Raw genomic sequence first — 20276 nt, forward strand, 5'->3', positions numbered from 1 at the left:
GACCACCTGAAACGCAGAAGCCCCGCCTATTTTGCTAGCTCCCTCGTTCCTACGTATTCCCATTTTTCCGGCTTATTTAAAGAATAAAACAATACAAACTTTAATGGCTATTTGTACTTTTTAAAAATCAGTGCATTTTCATTTGTGTACTCTTGTGGATTTGGGCAACAGCTGAAAAATCAAAATAATTTGTATCTTTATTGATCTTGAACAAATGCTCTAAGATGCATACATTTAGCAGATGGACTCACTTATCATGTGGGCTTCTTTTCCCAAATGCAGATGGGATGGAAGTTGACATGAGGAGGCAGTATAATAAGTTAGGAAGAATCTGGACAAAGGTATAAAGGAGCTAAACGGAGGCTGCAGAATGTGGAGTGAAGAGCTGGGACAGGTAACTCAAGGAGAAAGCAGAGAGAAGGAAAGTGATAGCACAGAGGCAAAGGGAATTGACTGACATCCAGGGAAATGTGTGAATTTGTCCAGAATGTCCTGAAAACTTTGTGCCGTGGGACAGACCTAAGACCTGGACTATATTCATAAAAAGAAACATGATTTTCCCTGGGGAATTTTAGACCAATCAGAAAGACTCCTAAGCTCTGTCTTTTCAACTTTCCACTCTACCTCATTATCCACCAAGCTACTTTTCCCACCTCTGTTCAATTGATTTCGGAAAGAGATGCACATACCAAAAATATGCAAGTCTGCCACAGATTTATTCTTTCTCACTTTAGCTGTGTCCTCAGTCGCCATTTTAATCACTCTCAAAGAATGCTCTCCCATATTAGCTACAATGGATATTTCAAAACTCTCTTTTCAAACTCCCTGACCTGGCTGGTCTTCACTCTCATTAAATGATTTCATGTCCTACTTTCCTGACTCTCAGCCTCTCTCCATGAGCTCAGGTTTCCAGAAAGCAGTCATGTCCCCAGCCTCTCTGCCTTCGAGAATGATCCTCCTCTTGTCTCAGGCTAACCTCCTGTCCAGCTGCATGAAGCCTCAGAACAGAGAAGAAACTGTGTGAGTTTCAGACTCTGGAGTTTTAGGTTTGAATCTTGGAGCTGCCACTATCTAGGCACATGCTCCTAGGCAAGGTACATAACTTTTCTAAGACTCTATTTTCTCATATGTAAAAACGTGGTGATAATACAACCTCCTTTGTATGATATGGGAATTTCCTGTATGTTATTTGTGAAAACACTTTCCCTACTACTTAGCAATAAATTCCCTCATATCTCTACCAGTTGACTGTGAAGAATTTTAAGCCCAGAAGTACATTACTTTCCCCATCGTGAGGGTTGAGCCTAGCGCGAGGAAAGTGACTGAGTCCTGGTCCCACAAACCTGTGAACCTACCCTCTCTTATGTCCCAACCACTGCCATCTTTTCTGATAGTACCATTTTGTTCTCATTTTTAGGCTCTACTATGTTCTCCTGAGCCTTACAATGGCCTTTCCTCCCTCTGCATGTCTGTTCTTGGATGATCCTGTGCACTGTGATAACTCTAGTCTTGGAGGTGAATCTGAGGTCCACGTCTGAAACCTGAAAGGCATCTCCTTTTATCTACTACCGCTTTCAAGGAGATGCTCTTCAGGTGCCACTGATTCTGGCATGCCAAAAAGTTGCATCTGCAGGATGGTTGTAGCCCTGTTTATAAATTCACAGGCTCAATTTCAAGACCTTATGAGACCCTCAAATGTATCAAGTGGGGCCAGGCGTCATGGCACCTGTAATCTGAAATCCCAGCACTTTGGGAGGCCGAGGCAGACGGATCACCTGAGGTCAGGAGTTTGAGACCAGCCTGGCCAACATGGTGAAACCCTGTCTCTACTAAAAATACAGAAATTAGCCAGGCGTGGTGGCGCATGCCTGTAATCCCAGCTACTTGGGAGGCTGAGGCAGGAGAATGGCTTGAACCTGGGAGGCGGACGTTGCAGTGAGCCAAGATCGTGTCACTGTACTCCAGCCCAGGTGACAAAGTGAGACTCCATCTCAAAAAAAAAAAAGTAAATAAATAAAAAAGTAACAAGTGAGACAAGTGAGATAAAACTAAATCCAGTTTATAAGAAAGCCATTCCTACAGCCAATGCAATGTTATCTCTTATCTTCAACCTGAAGCACAAGCTGATATTATTTTGCAATCTTATTAGCAGCTCAAACAGCTGTCTCTGCCAGTAATATACACAATTGAAGGGATGCCAGAGGGCAAGCACCGAACCTGGCTGCAAAGAAGGGGAACCGTTCCCCAAATTTTGCCAAGTCAGGCTGCTGTATTTCATTTAAAGTGGGAGACATAATAATATTCCTAAATTCTGATACCAATAGGGTTGTTTATCCCTTCTATACCTGGAAGACTTGCTGTAATATTTTTTCTCATTTGTTTCTAAGTACTTAATATCCTATGCAGGGGGCTATTTTCTGGGCATTTGCTTATGGTCCAAGGACAATCTGTTTGGATGCTTACTTGCTGTTCTGGTTAAGCAAACCTAATGGTTCACAACTCCCTTACAACAATCAGGGAGTTTTGGCAAAGATTACTAACCAAGTCAAGTTTACATTGGCTCAAGCCTCTCCTACATGAATGCCACCAATAATTGTTGCTGTCTCTTTATTACACGTCTTTGAGGCACTGACTGCCTCCATAAAACTGGAGAAGGCATATGTGTATATATACTATATATAATGATTACCCACCAGTACCAGCTTTAATGTTTTCCTCTCCACCTAATTTCTTTTTGCTGTTCAATTTTCACAAGCATACACTTGTACACACACACACACACACACACACACACACACACACATATGCCTGTCATTGGTTACCTTTCCCCCGGGGAATTAAAATCCGTATGATTCAATAAGGTAGATTTATTTGCCATTAGCAGACAAACATGAAAATAATTCCTAAGCCAATAAAATTATTTTCAAGTTTTTCAGTTTTCCTTTTTTCTTATAATGGCAAGAACATTTGACTAAGAGTCTAGCAGGGGAAAATACTGTATTCACAAAAGCAATGGGAAAAAAACTCAGGCCTGTTAAGGAAACTCTCCTATAAAATCAAATTGCAAATTTTTCAAAGTTGCCAATGCTTGGCACATCACTGTCTGGGCAGGATAATCTGTTCTTACCAGTCTCAACTCAGAAATAACCTATTTATGATTGCAACCATCATCTTGGCCTCAGGGAGGCACTATAGGTCCCTTAATGTATCTAAGGCACAGCTGAAATACTTAAAAATTACCTCTGAAAGTCTGAAACATGACAGAATGGAAAAAGAACTCACAGAAGATAACATAAAACTCTATATTCTGTCCCTAAGTTAATGTAAGAGATTCATACGCCTTAGGAAGACGAGATAATTTAGCGATTGCGCTTAGAAAAATAAGTAAATAAATATGAGTTAGAGATATGGTTGGTGACACTTTTTTTCCTCTGGGTCTCTTCCTTATTTTCCCCTTGTTCCTTCCTGGCACTAGGGGGCGGCAAACGATGGGCTCCTTTATTTATAAAAAAAGACAGTTTTTATAAATAAAGCTTTATTGGGACACAACCATTCCCATTTGTTTACTTATTGTCTGTGGCTGCTTGCATGCTGCATCAGTCAAGTAGTTGCGACAGAGACTGTCTGTCCCACAAAACTTAAAATATTTATGCTTGAGCCTTTTACAGAACAATTTGGCTGACCCCTGCATGCTATCTATAGTATTTAACAATGGATATGAAAGTGACAATGGTAGATCTAAGGAACTTCGATATGTGTCCAGCCAGCCAGGATAGGGGCCAGCTTCCTAAGACACATGTCTAGAATATGATGAAATCACCACCTGCCAGTGAGTCACATGCAGGCAAATGACACCAACAGAAGAAACCTAGGAAGCATATCCAGAAACTATAAAGTATTGGTCATGAACCTTGCAGGGGAGGACATAACTGGTGTTCGCATCTCTGCTTCCAGTTGACAGTTCACCAAAGATAAAAACAACAAATAAAATCCAGACCTCTCGCCACAAAAGGGGGTTTGGCTTCAGGCAGGGGCTTAGGGCTCTCTGCTGGGGACCAGCTGCACTTCACAATGCTGCAAAGCCTGCATTTGTTCAGAAATGTAATTCCTGATCTGATTATAAGAGTTCAAAGCTGAAAATGTGGTAAGGAGGAGGAAAAAAAAATGGGTTATGATGGAAGATTTTGTGGTGGTGGTAAGGGGGCATGATAATAATAATATTGAAGAAGTGCCCTAGTAATTTACATGAGAAGGGACCAAGAAGGTGGCTAAGAACAGCACAGAGTCTCAGATATACACACGTTTTTGCACAGAGTCTGGCTAATAACACAAATGAGAGATTTTAGCATAATAATGCTGTATTATCAAGGAAATAGACATCCCATCTGTGGGGAAACTGTCAACATGAGAGATAATTGTGGTAGAGAAGAGATCTAGAAATGAAGGATAACAAAAGAAATGAAATAATAGGCGCAAGTCCCTGGCCCTCCTATGTGCCACAGTCCAGGGGAACAGGAGAGCTGATGGGAGACCTCGGTTGGGAAAATCTTATCCATTCCAAAAGGAGGAAAGGTCAATCTCTGAAACTATTTCATAGTTGATTTTAGTATTGGTCCCTGAAAACATTTCAGAACTCACTTAATCAGCAGATAGTTTTAGAACGCAAGAGGGTGAAGTTATGCTCAGGGCAGCAGGCCTGGTTGGTGAGGATGGACCACAGGTACGGTGTGGAGGGTAGGTGGGTAGGCTCCAGAGCTAGTCTGCTGGGTTCCGAGTTGGCTGTCTTACTTCCTAGCTCTGAGACCTCTGCAAGTTACTTAACTTCGCTCTTCCTCAGTGTTTTTAGTTCTCAAGTGGGCATAGTAATGAAATGGGGTGGTTGTAGGGATTGAGTTAATACATATAAAAGAGTTAGAACAAATCCAGCTGAGACTAGTGCCATGCAATTGTTAGCTAGTGTTCCTGGTACAACTATCAGACCAGGGGCCAGGAGAATGCTACAGACCTGGCTGAAACTGAATTTCAACAAAGCATTTCACAAATGCATACAAAATACAGCCAAGGACCTGCTGGAAAAGTGGTCTGAGGAACACAAATACATAGATTCATATTTGGTTTTACAACTAGAAATTCATTTCAGCCTAAGGAGACTTCTTTAATTTCAAGCCTTGTGATTATCCTCAGCCCTGTCCTGATCGACATTTTTCATCAAGAAGACCTGAAATTATTTTATTGTAAAAATTGTGAATATTGTGAAGTATTCCAAGCATACAAAAATAACTTTCGGGATTTAGAACTGACAACAATGTGGAAAAGCCATACATATCTAAAGCACGAGTGAATTCTTTCTTACTGAACCTATTCAAATAAAGACTGAAAGACCTGGCAGTGAAGGGTTGGAAGTGTCACATGAGGCATATATTGAGATGAACTTTGAAAATTCTATTCACACATGAAGATGTTTATGAAGTATTTTATATATGTTAGGCATTGTCTTAGGTACTTGGAATGTATGTAAACAAAATAAACACCTGTCTTGTTGGACTTACATTCAGGTGGACTCCTTAATAACCTGTAAGTTATAGGAATTACTAGATTTTGGTTTAATTCTGAAGTTTGTCACTCACTATATATAAACCTGATAAGCTCCCTCGTTTTTTTCTCATCTGGAAAATGGCGATAAAATGCCATCCTTTCATATTTAGGATCATTCATTCGCTCAACAAGTACTTCCTACTTTGTGCTATGCTCTTGGGAAAAAAAATGAATGAGAGAAGGATCCTGCCCTCATGGTACTTGTATCTTATATTATCCAGAAGATAAAATAAGGCACTTACCAAAAATACTAACATTTACATATCAATGAAAGGCTATGCCTATTATATCTAATGATAGCAGCATGGCCTGTGAGTCTTTGGTCGTCTTTTTGGGGATATACAATGTATATTTTGGCTGTTACCTAAGCCATTCTCCAATATTACACCCCTCACTACCGCTATGTACACAGATAGTCTGCTCCACACTCAGAAAGGTAGGGACAACACCCTAGGATTTCCATAAAGCTTAGAAGGATTTCCTTCCTAAGAAATACCCAGTTTTGCTGCCAAACACTCCTCCCCTCCTACATGAAGGCCTGAGTCAAGAGATATCGTGGGTGGGAGAAGTTACCCTGCATGTCACCAGAACCTCAGCATGCACACTTTAAAATGAATTTCCAAATGCAAATTTGTTCCTAGATCCACAGCATGGCAAGTGAGATGCAGAAGCCTGGTTCCTGGAGGAGGAGCCAGCATTGATTCGTGGAGGGCAGTGTCCTCTCACAGGGGTAAGTGAGCAGGGGTAAATCATCGTTCCCATGAACTCCTCTCCATCTGCTCTCCCCACTCTGGGAACACTAGTGTGCTGCTCCACCTCCTTCTGCCCCCTCCTGGGATGGGCTCCAGAGGATGATAGGCAGGGCACCTAAATTCCCAGCTGACGGAAACGTGAATGTGCTCAGTAGCTAAAGGTGGCTCAGGAAGTTTGGAAGATTAGATGAGATGGTTCTCCCTCTCCCTCATTTAGATCACACACATTTTCCAACATGTAGGGGAGAAGAGGGAGCTCTGTATTTTTTATTTATCCAACAAATATGTATTGAACATCTACCATGTGTGGGACAGTGTCTTAGGTATTAGGAATACAACAAAGAAGAACCTCAAATCCTTACTGGTATTTAGATTACTAATACCGGGAGGAGTGGGAAAGACACATAGTAAACACATTAATGACCTATTAAATATATGCTGGGTCACCACTATGGACTGTATTGCGTCCCTCACCCCAATTCATATGTTGAAGTGTTGATATGTTCCCATCAATTCATATATTCCTATCAGCTCATATGTTCATATGTTGAACTCTCAATGTCACTATATCTGAAGATAGGGCTTTTAGTCAGTAAATAAGTTTAAATGTGGTCATAAGGGTAGGGTCCTAATCTGACCTTATAAGAAGAGGCAAAGAGCTTTCTCTTTCTCCCTACACAGGCATGCAGGCACGCGCGCGCGCGCACACACCCACACCCCCCCCCACACACACACAGAAAGGCCATGTGAGGACATAGTGAAAAGGTGTCTGTGTCTGCAGGCCAAGAAGAGACCCATAACCAGCACTGAACCAAGCTGGCACACTGATCTCAAGCTTCCAGCCTCCAGAACTGTGAGAAAATAAATGATTGTTATTTAAGCCACCCCATCTGGTGTTTTGCTTTGTAGCCTTGCTAACACTGTCAGGTAGCCCTAAGTGTGCTGAAGAAAACCCAAGTGGAATAAAGGGGTGGAGAGAGATCAAGAGAGGTGGTTAGGGAGACACTCTGAGGAGGGACATTGAGCAGAGAGCCCAGTGAAGCTCACATGTATCCAAAGGCAAGCCCTGGCCTGGAGTTTAAGAATGGCAACACTCAGGCATGGCAGGGTTTGTCCTTAGAAGCAAATGGGATTGCTGTTTTATCAGCATGTTTTTGAAAAATAGACTGTTCTCTTGCAGAGAGGAAATGTATAATTGGTGATCGCCTAGCTGTGTGAGCTTGGGCACGTTCCTTAAATCTCATGTCCCAGTTTGCTCAGTTGTGAAATGGGATAATAATCATCTTTACCTTGTTAGGTTGTTGGGAGGTTTAAATGAGTTAATATATGTAAAGTGCATGGACCCATGCCTGAAACACAGTCAGTGCTCAATAAATAGTAGCTATTATTATTGCTATCAATACAACTACTATCTCTATTATTACAACAACTGCTACTACTATTACTATTGGAAAGCCACAGGCAGAACATTATAAAAGAAATTTCAGCAATGGCATCTTTCAATTAAATCTTTTCTGAGCATCTTGGGCCTCACTACCTCTGGGAAAATAACTTTGCTTCTTTGTCTCCCTCAGCTCCTCAGAAGAGCCAAACCAATGATTAAGCTCACGTGTTGTGAACTGCAAAGTCATTTGAACAATTTCAAAGCCATCAGTGACAAAGGCTTTCTCCTGATGGATCTTTCTGCCCATTGAACTAGAACACTCATGGAAACATGTTCAGGCTCCCTCACTCCATGTAGGTCAGACTACAGGTAAAATATCCTTTCTGGTGCCAAAAACTCTTATCAGGATGAAGAATTTTCCTCTAGTTTCCCTGGGGAAGAGCAAAAAAAAAAAGTAGATAAAAAAAAAAACACAAGAAATAGAGTAGCAGGAGTGAAGGAGAAAAATTGAAAAGAAAGAGATAAATAGGGGGGGAATTTTAAGGACCATTAGTAATTTACTGTGGTCCCCAATGTTGACACAAGCAATCAAAATGGACCTGGAGAAGGGGATTATATGGGCTGACATTGTCTACTTTGATCTATACGTGCCTTATATTGGTAGATCTTTAAAGAAGTTACTTGGTATAAAGTTTATTTGAGTGCATTAAAATGAGTAAATAATATTGAAAAATGTTTTCATCCAGGCTATGCTTTTATGGAGGCAATTTTACAATTACTTAAAGTGAAGTGAAATTGTTTTGAATCTGCCAGACTGTAAGTTTCCTAAGGGTGGAATCTATGCAGGTTTTATTTTGAGTATTCTCGCCTTCTCAACGCCTGGTAAAACTGAGTTCATAAATGGTCAATAGCTGCTTATCTAGCAGTTATCTGGCAGCTTCTTGCATGTTTTCTTCAAAAGGACTCCAAATCTACTACTTTCCATAGACTTTCACTTTTTTTCTCCCATTCTTCCAGACTTTTTTTTCAACATGTTGTCATCAGAATTTTACACACCACAGCATTGCCCATCAAACAGACCTATTACTCATAAATGCTGATGTTATTTCTACGTGATAACGTAGAGTTGTCCTCCTTGATTTTGGTACAATTTTATGGAAAGCAGGTGGTCTGCCCATCATTTTATTTTGCTTTTTGGAGGAAAACTTGATATTTGGCACTAGGTATGACTGTACAAAATCTTCCTCACTAATGTGATTACACCGTGAGTCAAATGAAGACTTGAAGGGGGAAAAAGAATTTTGAAAATGAGGTCCTTTAGCAAGACTATTTGGACAGTAGCTATCTTTCCCCTCTGTAGCTATGAAATTAAGTGGGAGAGGAGGTGGTAAAAAAGAACCAGAAATTAGAAAGTTTTCAGGCAAGCGTGTGCAAATTAGAACTGCAGTAGAATGTGTTGATTTCTAATTTGAGGCAATTTCCCTAGAGACAACAGAGGCGTTTTGAAAAGACCATAGGATTTATCATCAGAAGCCATGCATTCATTTTCTGCTACTGCTGCATACTAGTGGTTTTGCCTTCAACAGTCATTTGACCTTGAACAGCCCCTTGGCCTGTCAGAAACACAATGTCCGTGTGTGTAAGATGAAAACAACAATATTTGCATCCCACAGGGATGATGAAGATGCTATGGGTGGGGGCTTTATGAACAATCAACCAAGATTTAAATACCTTTTCCAGGATTCATCTCTATGTTTCTTTTTCTTGCCTCTCCCATTTTCTAAAATCTTCAAGACAATGTTATTATTTCTTCACACACATCCTCCATTTCGAACTTCTGCCCACTCCTGTTGTTTATCTTTTCATTCGTTTTTATTCAAGTGGCTGCTAAGGGCTACTCTGCAAGGTGCGTGAACACACTCTCCTCAGGCTATCCCCAAATCAGGACAAGTCAGCTCAGATGAGGCTCACTTTTGCTGAACTTCAGATGCTTTTATCATTTTCCTTACAATTCTCTCCTATTTTTTGAAGTTTAGAGGAAGAAAACTGCCTGGATGCTAAGTGTTGAAGGAATCAGACAGAGCTTATTACAAACAATCTGGGTTTCTAAGTAAAAAGCAACATGAAATCCTTTTACCCACATTCAGATAGGTCTCTTGTGTTTCTTGAAGAGCAGTCGTGGGACTAGCTAACAACCTGGGGTATCAGTGGAAAATACTTTCCTTCATCTGACACGAACATGCAGGAAAAGTCTTAATGGGACATTGCAGTTGTTTTGCAAAAAAATGAAAGAAAAATCATTCTATGGGCTTGCTCCTCTTGACATGGTAGCGCTCAACTCCCAATATATATCTATGTATCTTATTCAGGATAATAAATGAACATTAAAATATTGTTTGTGTTTAAGGTCTCAGTAAGCGATAACTACTCACAACCTGGTTGGGGTTTATAGGAGTTCATAAAATATGCCAAGAACGTCTAAGCTTTCATTCCCTTGTATTGAATCTATAGTAAGGGAAGTATAATAAATGAAAATTAGGGCCAGGCACATTGGCTCACACCTGTAATCCCAGCACTTTGGGAGGCCGAGGTGGGCAGATCACTTGAGATCAGGAGTTTGAGACAATCCTGGCCAACATGGTGAAACCCCATCTCCACTAAAAATAACAAAAACTAGCTGGGAGTGGTGGCGGGCACCTGTAGTCCCAGCTACTTGGGAGGCTGAGGCAGGAGAATCACTTGAACCCAGGAGGCGGAGATTGCAGTGAGCATTGATCGTGCCACTGCACTCCAGCCTCAGTGACAGAGCAAGATTCTGTCTCAACAGCAACAACAACAACAACAACAACAACAACAACAACAACAAAAGAAAAAGAAATAGAAAATTAGGATTTCACAAAAACAAATTTTAAGAGGAAGATTACAAGATTACTCGCTAAGTTAGTGATGCCAAAAAAGGTAACTCCATTTTGAATCAATTATGGCTTATTTAAAATATCTCATTTTTAAGGTGGAGACATCCATTTACACACTTACATTGAATGAATAAAGACTGTCTATTTCATTTACTAAGTTTATGGATTACATCTAATTTATTTATATTGTTACTTAATAGTTTTTGGATGTGTACAATTCTGAAGAAATAAACTAAAATATGCCAGTATAATCATGTGTTTTAAATAAAGTTTCCTTACATTTCTAATAGTTTTTGTCTTATAGTTTTAGTTGCTATATTGTTGAGCACATGTGCATTTCAAATAATTTTAACTTCATCATTTCTATCCCATGGTGTTCTAGTAAATGGTTAGCAATTGGCTCTAGAGGAGGGGAGGAAGAAAGCCCTGATTTGTATCATTTCCAATTTCTACGGTGTAAATAATCACACTGTGGCCAATTTCAATATGATGTTATTGAACATGGAGTTAGGAAGATATGTTAACCATAGGCTCTTACAAGCTGGTACCAGCTAACGCCCTAACACCACTGATTTTACCTTTTTTTGGTGTTTAAACTTGACATTTCCCCTTGTCTAATCTTAATATTGTTACTGCTGAATTGTTTTGGTTTGGATTTGCCCTATGTCTTTGCATATTTCTTTATTCCCAATCGTTATAAATAAATTTTAAATGTTTCCCACAAATTGTATATAATGATTTGTGTGTGCATGTGTTTTGGAATGACAGGCTACTGTTTATTTAATCTGATACTGACGAAAAATTGGTCTATTTATATATGATATAATATGGATTTTACTTTCTTTTTGTTATTTATATGTTATTAGAAAGGGCATATATAATTAAACTTTATACTCAAAGAATTAGAGATAGGGAAACCCAGTTTTATGAACATCCAAGTAAATGCAGACAATTCTCTTCATTGAAACAAACATGCTTTTATGATCTTGGATGAGTAGAACTATTGTAATTTTTAAATTTTGTTTTCTATATACTTTTCACAGTGAAGGTAGATAGATTAATCTCACTTTGTATTGGAGGTAATGATTTTTAAGGAGAATTTTTATTATACTAGAATTTGTTATATTTCATTTTATTTATATTTTATGTAACTTCCCCTTTTTTAAACCAATGTAATATCTTAGCTTTTAGAAAAAGTGAGTAGAGAGGGAAAGAGTAGACCATGAATGAAATGCTGAACTTTGGCATATTTAATACTTGTTCAAATGTGATGTTTAAAATGTTGCTACTAAATAGATCTTTACCACTCTAATTTGAAGACTCTTCTCCCAAGTAAGGCATTTTACAAGGACTGCTGAAACCACAGCTGCCCAGCTGTGAGTAGAAGCCACTCTGCATACCTGTCCAATCCAGCTTTATACGTGGCCTAAAACAATGCAGCCCCTGATAACTCATTGTCAATTGACTGCTTGGCAGCTTCAAATATGACAGTCAAGTTCCAGCAACTGTCTCAAACTAAGGCTGTCTCATACAGTCATCATGGTCCCCCAAAATGGCCGGTAAGCAGTAGGGATGGAAAACGCTTTCCTCAGCTAGACTGACTGCTGAAATCCTGGCTCATCTAATTGCCATTTTTCCTAATGGTCTTGTCACGTAAAAGAGTTATACCCTGGTTTACAGAATGGACAGCCATCCTTACAAATCAGTGTTTTTAACAAAGCAGGCTTGATTTTCTCTAGCTATAGAGCTGCAGTGTCTTCTACTCTTTTCAAGATTATCTGAAGCTTCAGCAGATTTGTACTGCTTTGTGCTGTGTCTCTTCTCAACTCAGGTCCTAGGGGTTCTTGGAGCTTTAAAAAGAGTTTCATCTCTCACCTAAGGCTAATAAAATCAAACTCATGTCCCTTTCGCCCCCTGTTTAATGCCTTCCTGTATAATGCTCCAATTTGTAGACTCCAGCCAAGGGCCAATAAAGCAATTTCCCCCACATTTCATGATTTCCTGCTTATAATGCATTCTTTTTTTTTCCATTCTTTGAAAAACAACATTAACAGTGATGCTTTTAGTTTATCTCCAACTGCCTGCAGAATGCAAGAATGGAGGGAAGGACAGAGCTTGCCCAGCAAAGCTTTAGCCAAGAGAGGAGTCGACCAGCTTGGCAGCCTCTCCTTTCCCCCAGAGGCTCCATTTGAAAGCCTTAAGCAGCCTCTGGAACCCTTGTCTGCGATTCAACACTAGAACAGTCTTTACACATTTTTCTGCTCCTACCTCATGAAACAGATAGAGAGGTCTTTCTAAAAATGTAAATCAGTTTTGTCATTCTGCTAGGAACTCTTCTGTAGTTTCTGGCTGCACTTCAAAAACATCCCATCTTACCTCCAAGTCTGCAAGTTCCTTGAGCCCTGCCTACTTTTCTGATTTCCTCTCATACAACTCTCCTTCAGACTTATTACTACTTAACCCTTCCATTTTTTTTTTAAGATAACAAGCCATTCTTTGGGACCTTTGCTATTTTTCTATCTAGAATGCTGCTCTTCCCACAGAAATTCATCTGGCTGGCTCCTGCCTATCATCCTCATGTCAGCAAAATTGCATTTCAGAAAAGCCTCCTTTGGCTGGTTGATTTAACGTAGTCTCTGTCGCTCTCCATTGCATCACCCAGTTTTACTGTCTTCATAGCAGTTCTCACTGTGGGAAAACATCTTGTTCATTTATTTGTCAAGTAGTTCATTTTTTGACTCTTCTTTCAAGAGCAGCACTGTCCAGCAGAAAGGCAAGCCACCTATGTAATTTTTCTAGTAGCCACAAGTAAAAGAAACAAAACACATTTTAGTTGTGTATTTTATTTTACCTAATACAATCAACAACTATCACTTTGATGTGTAATCAATATTAAAAATTTTATTAATGAGATATTTTACATTCTTCTCTTTTATACAAAGTCCTTGAAATCCAATGTGAACGTCGCTCTTCTAGTACATGTCCACTGGAACTGGCCACGTTTCAAGTGCTCCATCACGACACATGCTGGTGGTTACTGTACCACTGTACTGCTAGTGAAGCTCTAGAATGTAACCCTTCTGTGAGCAGGGACCTTTCCGGTCTTGTTCACTGCAGCATCCCTTATGTTTATAGAAAGACTAGTGCCTGACACACAGTGGCCATTCAATAAATATTTGTTGAGTAAGAGAATAGTTCAAAGAATTTTGAGATCACAATGGAATTCTTAAGTAAAGATTGAGTATCTATCTTTATATACAATTTCAAAGGCTTTCAAAAATCTAAATAAATCAATTAATTAACTTGGATGACGACAAGTACTTATTTAATAATGTAAGTATGAATTTGGCGGGAAAGTCCCAGTCTTTTGTATGCTTCACAATCTCCTGGATATTGCCCAGCTCCCCTCTGGCATCCACTGAGCCCTTACATGCAATGCCCTCTCTCTGCTCACCTCACTAGAGCCTTATCATCCCAGCTCAAATTCTCACTACAATGAGAAGCAGATCTCCTCCAGGCACACTTGGACACACCTTCACTTGGGATCCCACTGCACTGTGGATAGTGATATATTACAGCATTATACCTGTTTTCTTAAAATAGAGGTGTCCTCTTTCTTTGTCTCAATTTCTGAAAGGAGACTTCTGATACCACTCTTGGATTGGTAATAGCACTAGAGCATCACTTTAGACCTCTTCACGGGAAGACATAATTAATTTACCTCATTAGTAAGATGAAAAAAGTCTGATGTCTACTGGTCTCTGCGTGTCAATTGGGTGCAATCAATGTATCTCAACTGTCCTTACCCCAGAGAGAAAGGAGTGTAACTGACTCCACAGAGCCTTTCACATGTGATACATTGGAGATAAAATGTTAAGCATACAAAAGCATCCAATAAAAATAAAAAATATCTTTATTGTTGAAAAATCTGGATTGGACATTGTAAGTAAAGGGTTAGCATCAGGTCTGAGCTAACCCAGGCCTACGCTGAAGAACCATCTCAGAGTTGCCTTCTCATAGCACTCATAGTTTAGAAGCTACAGAGTTAAGAAGAATACAGCATGCCATGTCTGCCTTGTTGGTGGTGGCACTGCACATGGGTGGGGAGCTGCAGGGTAGCATAGAGACCTGGGCATCTAAACCAGAACAGTTTTGAAAGACTAGTTGGAAACTGAGGACAGAGTCTCTGTGGTAAAGTGACCCCCAGGTGTTTAGTTCTTGTCCATGGTGGCCGCACACACTCTGTGAGGAAGCAATGGAAGCTGTGTACCTGGGTGGGTTCTGTCTCATCTGATGACATTAAGATGCTTCACCTGCTGTGTCCGTTGCCCTGTATCCATCCATAAAGCTATAGAACTGTAGTATTAGGCTAAAGCTTATTGTGCCTTCTGAGTTGAACAACTTGAGCTGTACTTAACTGGTACTTTAACAACCACTGCATCAGGGCAGAGACCTGCAGCCAGGATCAGGCTTTCTAATTATTCCCCTCATCTTGGTCCTGAGAATCAGCAGCTGGGAGGAAACTGCTCATGGAGGACACTTACTCAATTGTTCTGCAATTAATTGAGCCTTCCTTCTCACCCATCCAGTCTACTGGGGAAAGCTGGTGATGGGAATAAGAAATGAGAGAACAAGATCCCCTGTGCTCATGGCTTCTAAGCACACCTTTACCCCACTGGAAGGCTTGAACCAAGGGATGTCAAATTCTTGCCACTTGCCAGTTAAATCAATCAATTCCTCATGGATAGGAGTGACTCAGGGTGGAAAGAATTTGTGTTTTTCTGTTACAAATTCAGAGACTAAGGAACATGGGCCTGCTAATATTTTGTAAGCATGATTCTCTCTCCAGTGCAATACTCACTCCTTCAAGTTTGGGCCTTGTTCACCTCTATATCCCTAGCCAAGAACTCGAGTAATAATTTCAATAAATACATGAATTTAAAGTGAATGACCATTCAGTCATCAGCCCTTAATTTCTACATTATACAAATTTTATTGTTTCACTTCACCAAAATTTACAGTAGAAGCTACGGAAAGATTATATGTATGAGATTCGCGTTGCTTCTTTCTTCTGAAGATCTCCAAGTTGTGCACATGAAAAACATTTATGCAAAATTAATCTTATTCATGTTCTTGCTAATCTGCAAAGTCGGAACTATCATCAGTGTTGGAAAATCGAGAACTTTTTTTTTTTATTATACTTTAAGTTCTAGGGTACCTGTGCACAACATGCAATGCAGCCAAAAGACACATGAGAACATTTTGAATAAGTACCAAGTACCAAAGAGGCTATTTCAATTTTTGCAATTTCACACAAAAGCCAAGTGTTTTGGGAATCATAAAGATCAGTTTCTGTAAACCTGTATAGCTCTTAACACAGCAGTCAATTCCAAGCAAGGGAGTAGAGGCTGGGAAAATAGAAAATAGTCAGAAAAGACTGCTTTTTTAATAGATAAAGGGAAACTATCCACACAAGGAAATGCTACTATCAAATTGGTGCCAAATAGGAATATACAATAAAGAAATTATTTGAATAATCTGACTAATAGTATCTCTAAGAGCTCTTCCTGACACACTGTGAAGAGTTACCATTGAACAGGAATCGTCTATAGGAATGTTACAGGTGTCACAGGAGAGGATTGATAGAATTGAATCTAAGGAAATACACAAAAACATCTAGACTGTTACTCAAGCCAAAACTTTGGGGATATGATTAATTTTCAATCCAGATTTAAGGTAAATTATCTGACTTGAACTTTGAACTTATGATCAGATAAAAAATTTTGATTGCCTCTATAGTCATTTTTTGCTAAGACAGGCCCAATGAACACGAGATAGAAAAGCAAGGTGAGCAATAGTAGTTAAGACTGGTTAAATATTAGCCTGACTTAATTAATTAAAGCTAGATAGTGATCCTGTGAAAAGGATAAGGCATGAGTCAACAAGCAGAAGTAGTCTATGAGCCAGAATCTCTTAATGCACTCAACTAAGTTTGTGGAAAGCAAGAATGATTTCAGGACCCTAAAGAAGTATTCTGTTGCAGTAGCCTGCAAGTGTTAAACATTGTTGCATCATTGAAATGTGTCTTTATCTGATCACAGATACTAAAATTAATCTTCAATCATCTTCAGGATTATTATGCACATGCTTTACTTTCAAGTTCAACTGCACATCTTGCTGATTAATTAAACCATTCAATGTCTGTTTACACGTTTCACAATTTTGTCTAATACTCACTCAATTTTACTGCCCAGAAGGAGGATGCTAATTTAGAAACAGAAAATACTCATCAAGAAAATATAATTTAGAAAGAGAAGACCAGGGACAGAAGAATCAGTTCAGGTCAGGGCTAGTTCAGGTCTAATTCTGAGAGATGATGCTGGGTGCTCGGGAGGAGCATTAGAGAAAGGATGGGCAGCTGGGTGTCCAAACAGCTCAACCAGAATTTGATCTCCACAAAATGCCCTCCATTGTTTTCTTTGAAATAGTGTGGCTGAAAAATAATATCATAAAAGCTCCCATTAAAATGTACATATGAAAAACACATTAAAATAAAAAATTGGCTCTTGGAATTATCTCTGCCATTTCCACTTGTATTAAGACAGTTAATTGAGGTCATATTGTATTTGTTAACTTATTATTTTCACATAATTGTTTATAGAGATTAGGAGAAACTATATACTTAATAGAAAATATAAATGCTTGCCTGATAGCAGAGGGTCGGTGGAGAGAAAAGTAACAAAACAAATGGAAAAAAGAAAAAAGATGGCTCAAATAAAATACTTAGTAAAAATGATTTGAGGCCAAGTTAAAAAAAAATCTGGTGAATGGCTTTTTAAAGATCTAAAGCAATTTCAAAACCTAAGAGAAAAGAGAGAGAAAAAATGATCTAGAAATAGAGCAAAATGGAACTAGAAAAATACTGGCTTGAAAATGTGAAACTATAAATCTAAAATTAAAACTTCCAGATATATGTTATAGAAAATATTTTTTTCCTTTTTGTAAGGAGCTAAGGATTTGGGAGTGAGGGGGTAATCAGACTGTAAGCAAAACTAAAGATGACTAAAAAGAAATGTGAGGGTATAAAATACATGTATTTTTTCTTTTTGGTAATGCTTTATTAAATGTTCCAAAGTAATGACCTATAGAAGGCAGACCCTTATTTTCAGGAGGTATCTATGCCTCAAGAGTCTGGGGATGCTCTTTCAGATTTGTCCTACGAGTCTGCTGCAGGGCATTGTTCTATGCATGGTTCTTTAATTTGGGGCTGACTCAGTACTCCTATCACTGCTTATGAAGCTGGGGGAGCTGCAGATCAGCAGGTACTGGCAAACCTCAGCAAGAGTCCTTTTAAGAGCCAAAAAATATTGGCCTGACCCCATTGTGCGTCCTGTTATATACAACTGAGGGAATAAAACACACCCAGGGATTCTGGAAACAAAACAGTATGAACACTGCATCTCATGAGCCCTAGTAGATAAAGCACTGAGTAACACTGTGAGGTAAAAGTAAGTTATGTCCATTAGAGGACCGGCAGGTAGGCCTCCTTCCAAGGGCCAGTTCTGATTCATTCATGGCGGCTGTCTGGAGCACTTCTTTGGGAATGATGCCTAGGCTAAGTCTCAAATCAAAGGGAAAAAAATACTGGAAAAAATAAACTTATAATGCAGGGGTAATAGAAGTCATTCTTAACACATATTTGTCACTCCTGAGATAAATAGTATCTAGAGAGATTTACTTGTGTTGCTGATGGAATAACCCAAAAGTAATTGTAGTGAGATTAAGCATATAGTCCCAGAAAGACATCATATACTTATCTACACACACACACACACACAAACACATGCACACACACTTGTAACAAGGGATGCAGGATACAGTCACAGGAAAACACTTTTTTTGTGAAAAATAGCACACATTAGAATAGATACTTTTTTTGGTTTATTTAAAAATTGGTTCCTTAATAATCAACTGCTTGTAGATTAGATTTTTCTGTATTTAAAAAAATAGCTTAGGGAAGAAATCCATTTGTATATATACCCAATTATGTAAATTACTTAACATTTACACAATTATGTGAATTACTTCCTTACTCTCTTCACAATTAATTATCTCTGCAGCCAGCTGTGTGGGGGGCTGGCAGCTCCTGTTATAACACAGCTGTTTTTCCCACATTTCAGCAGCACTCTCTTCCGGTTTGTCAGGGATCCCAGAAAGAAAAGTTACTCTCATTACAAGAAATCTTGAGATTTTGGTTAACCACAAAGAACTAATGGCCTCATTCTAATGCACATTCCATTGAAAAAACATAAAAATTCATTAGTAAGACCTACAAACATTTTGTCAGTGCCTATGTTAAGGCATTTTAAAACCCTTTGCAAAATCACTATTCTAATCTAATTATACAATGATCCCTTATTGCTCAATTTTTTACTAGTCTATTTAAGTAGGTTTTTATTTGTTATTTGCATTTCCCATATTACTTAAAAAGCAGTAGGGCGAGAGAGGCCATGGATAAACCTGGCGTCACACATACCGGATGTATGTGCAATTGGAATTCACCTTCTTTCTTTAAAATACCCTGGAAAGGTAGTTTTTGTTTTTAATTTTAAAAAAAATCTCCTTTAGCATTGTTTCTTCTTAAAATTCTGAGGTAAGAAGACATATAACTGAAATGCTCAGTGTCACACTGTTACTGCATGCTTGTCCCTATTTAGTTACCAGACAAGTACACTGTTTACAAGTACAGCAAGCCTTAGTAGAAACATCAATATGGGATGTGCTCACATTGGCAAGTGCATAAGAGAACTGACAGGCCTTTGTGTATTTGAGTTAATGACAAGCTGACAGATAGCATCTTTTCACCTGTAATTGGACAACAAAAGGACCAGAAGAGAGACAGGCTCCCTTGCTAGTGTTCCAGCACCTCATTTGTTAGCTGCCTCGCTCTTTACCATTAGGGATATAAGGATTAATACCGCTTGAGTTTTTTTCTAATGTCTACATTATTTTTAAGCCTAAACTATAGAAACATAAAACTCAAAAGGCTGAAAAAGAAGGTTTAATTTTCAAAATTAGTAATTTCTAAAAAAATCTATGAATCAACCATGGAAAAATAAATTTATTCATTCCAAACTAATCTTTCAGTCATCATCCAAGAAAGCAACGTCTGCCATTGTAGTCGGAGACATTAAGGGAAGATTAACAGGTAAAGATTACTTTCAATCAGATATCTTTGTTATTGTCATCATCATCTTCATGTAGCCTTTACCAAATACCTTTCTGTACATTTCATTAATAGCCAACTGCTGCTTTGGGTATTAATTAACAAATCAGAATATTCCACACTGACAGAGAGATAAAGAACGTGTAGAGAATTGAAAAACATCAAATATATGGGTCAAAAAGGTAAAGTGCACATTCTTATTTTATGAATAGGAAAGTATTGCAAAACGGAGAGCCATGAGAATTGTTATTTTAATTGGGTTCAAGTTTCAGTTAAACAGTTTTTCTTTTCTAACTATAGAAATTTTAAAAATAGCTTAGTAATCCTTCAAAATAAAATTGTGTTCACCTATCATTTTAATGGTTAAGAAACTATCCCTGTAGCACAATTTAGTTAGGGCACAG

General features: G+C 38.8%; 1 protein-coding gene across 17 annotated transcripts in view; it reads right to left on the minus strand.

Annotated features, from left to right (window-relative positions):
- Positions 1 to 20276, minus strand: part of PDE4D (phosphodiesterase 4D) — a 1553091-nt gene that overhangs the window by 841642 nt on the left and 691173 nt on the right. The gene's annotated exons all lie outside the window — the stretch shown is intronic.

Source organism: Homo sapiens, chromosome 5, assembly GCF_000001405.40.
Source record: "Homo sapiens chromosome 5, GRCh38.p14 Primary Assembly".
NCBI classification, from domain to species: domain Eukaryota; kingdom Metazoa; phylum Chordata; class Mammalia; order Primates; family Hominidae; genus Homo; species Homo sapiens.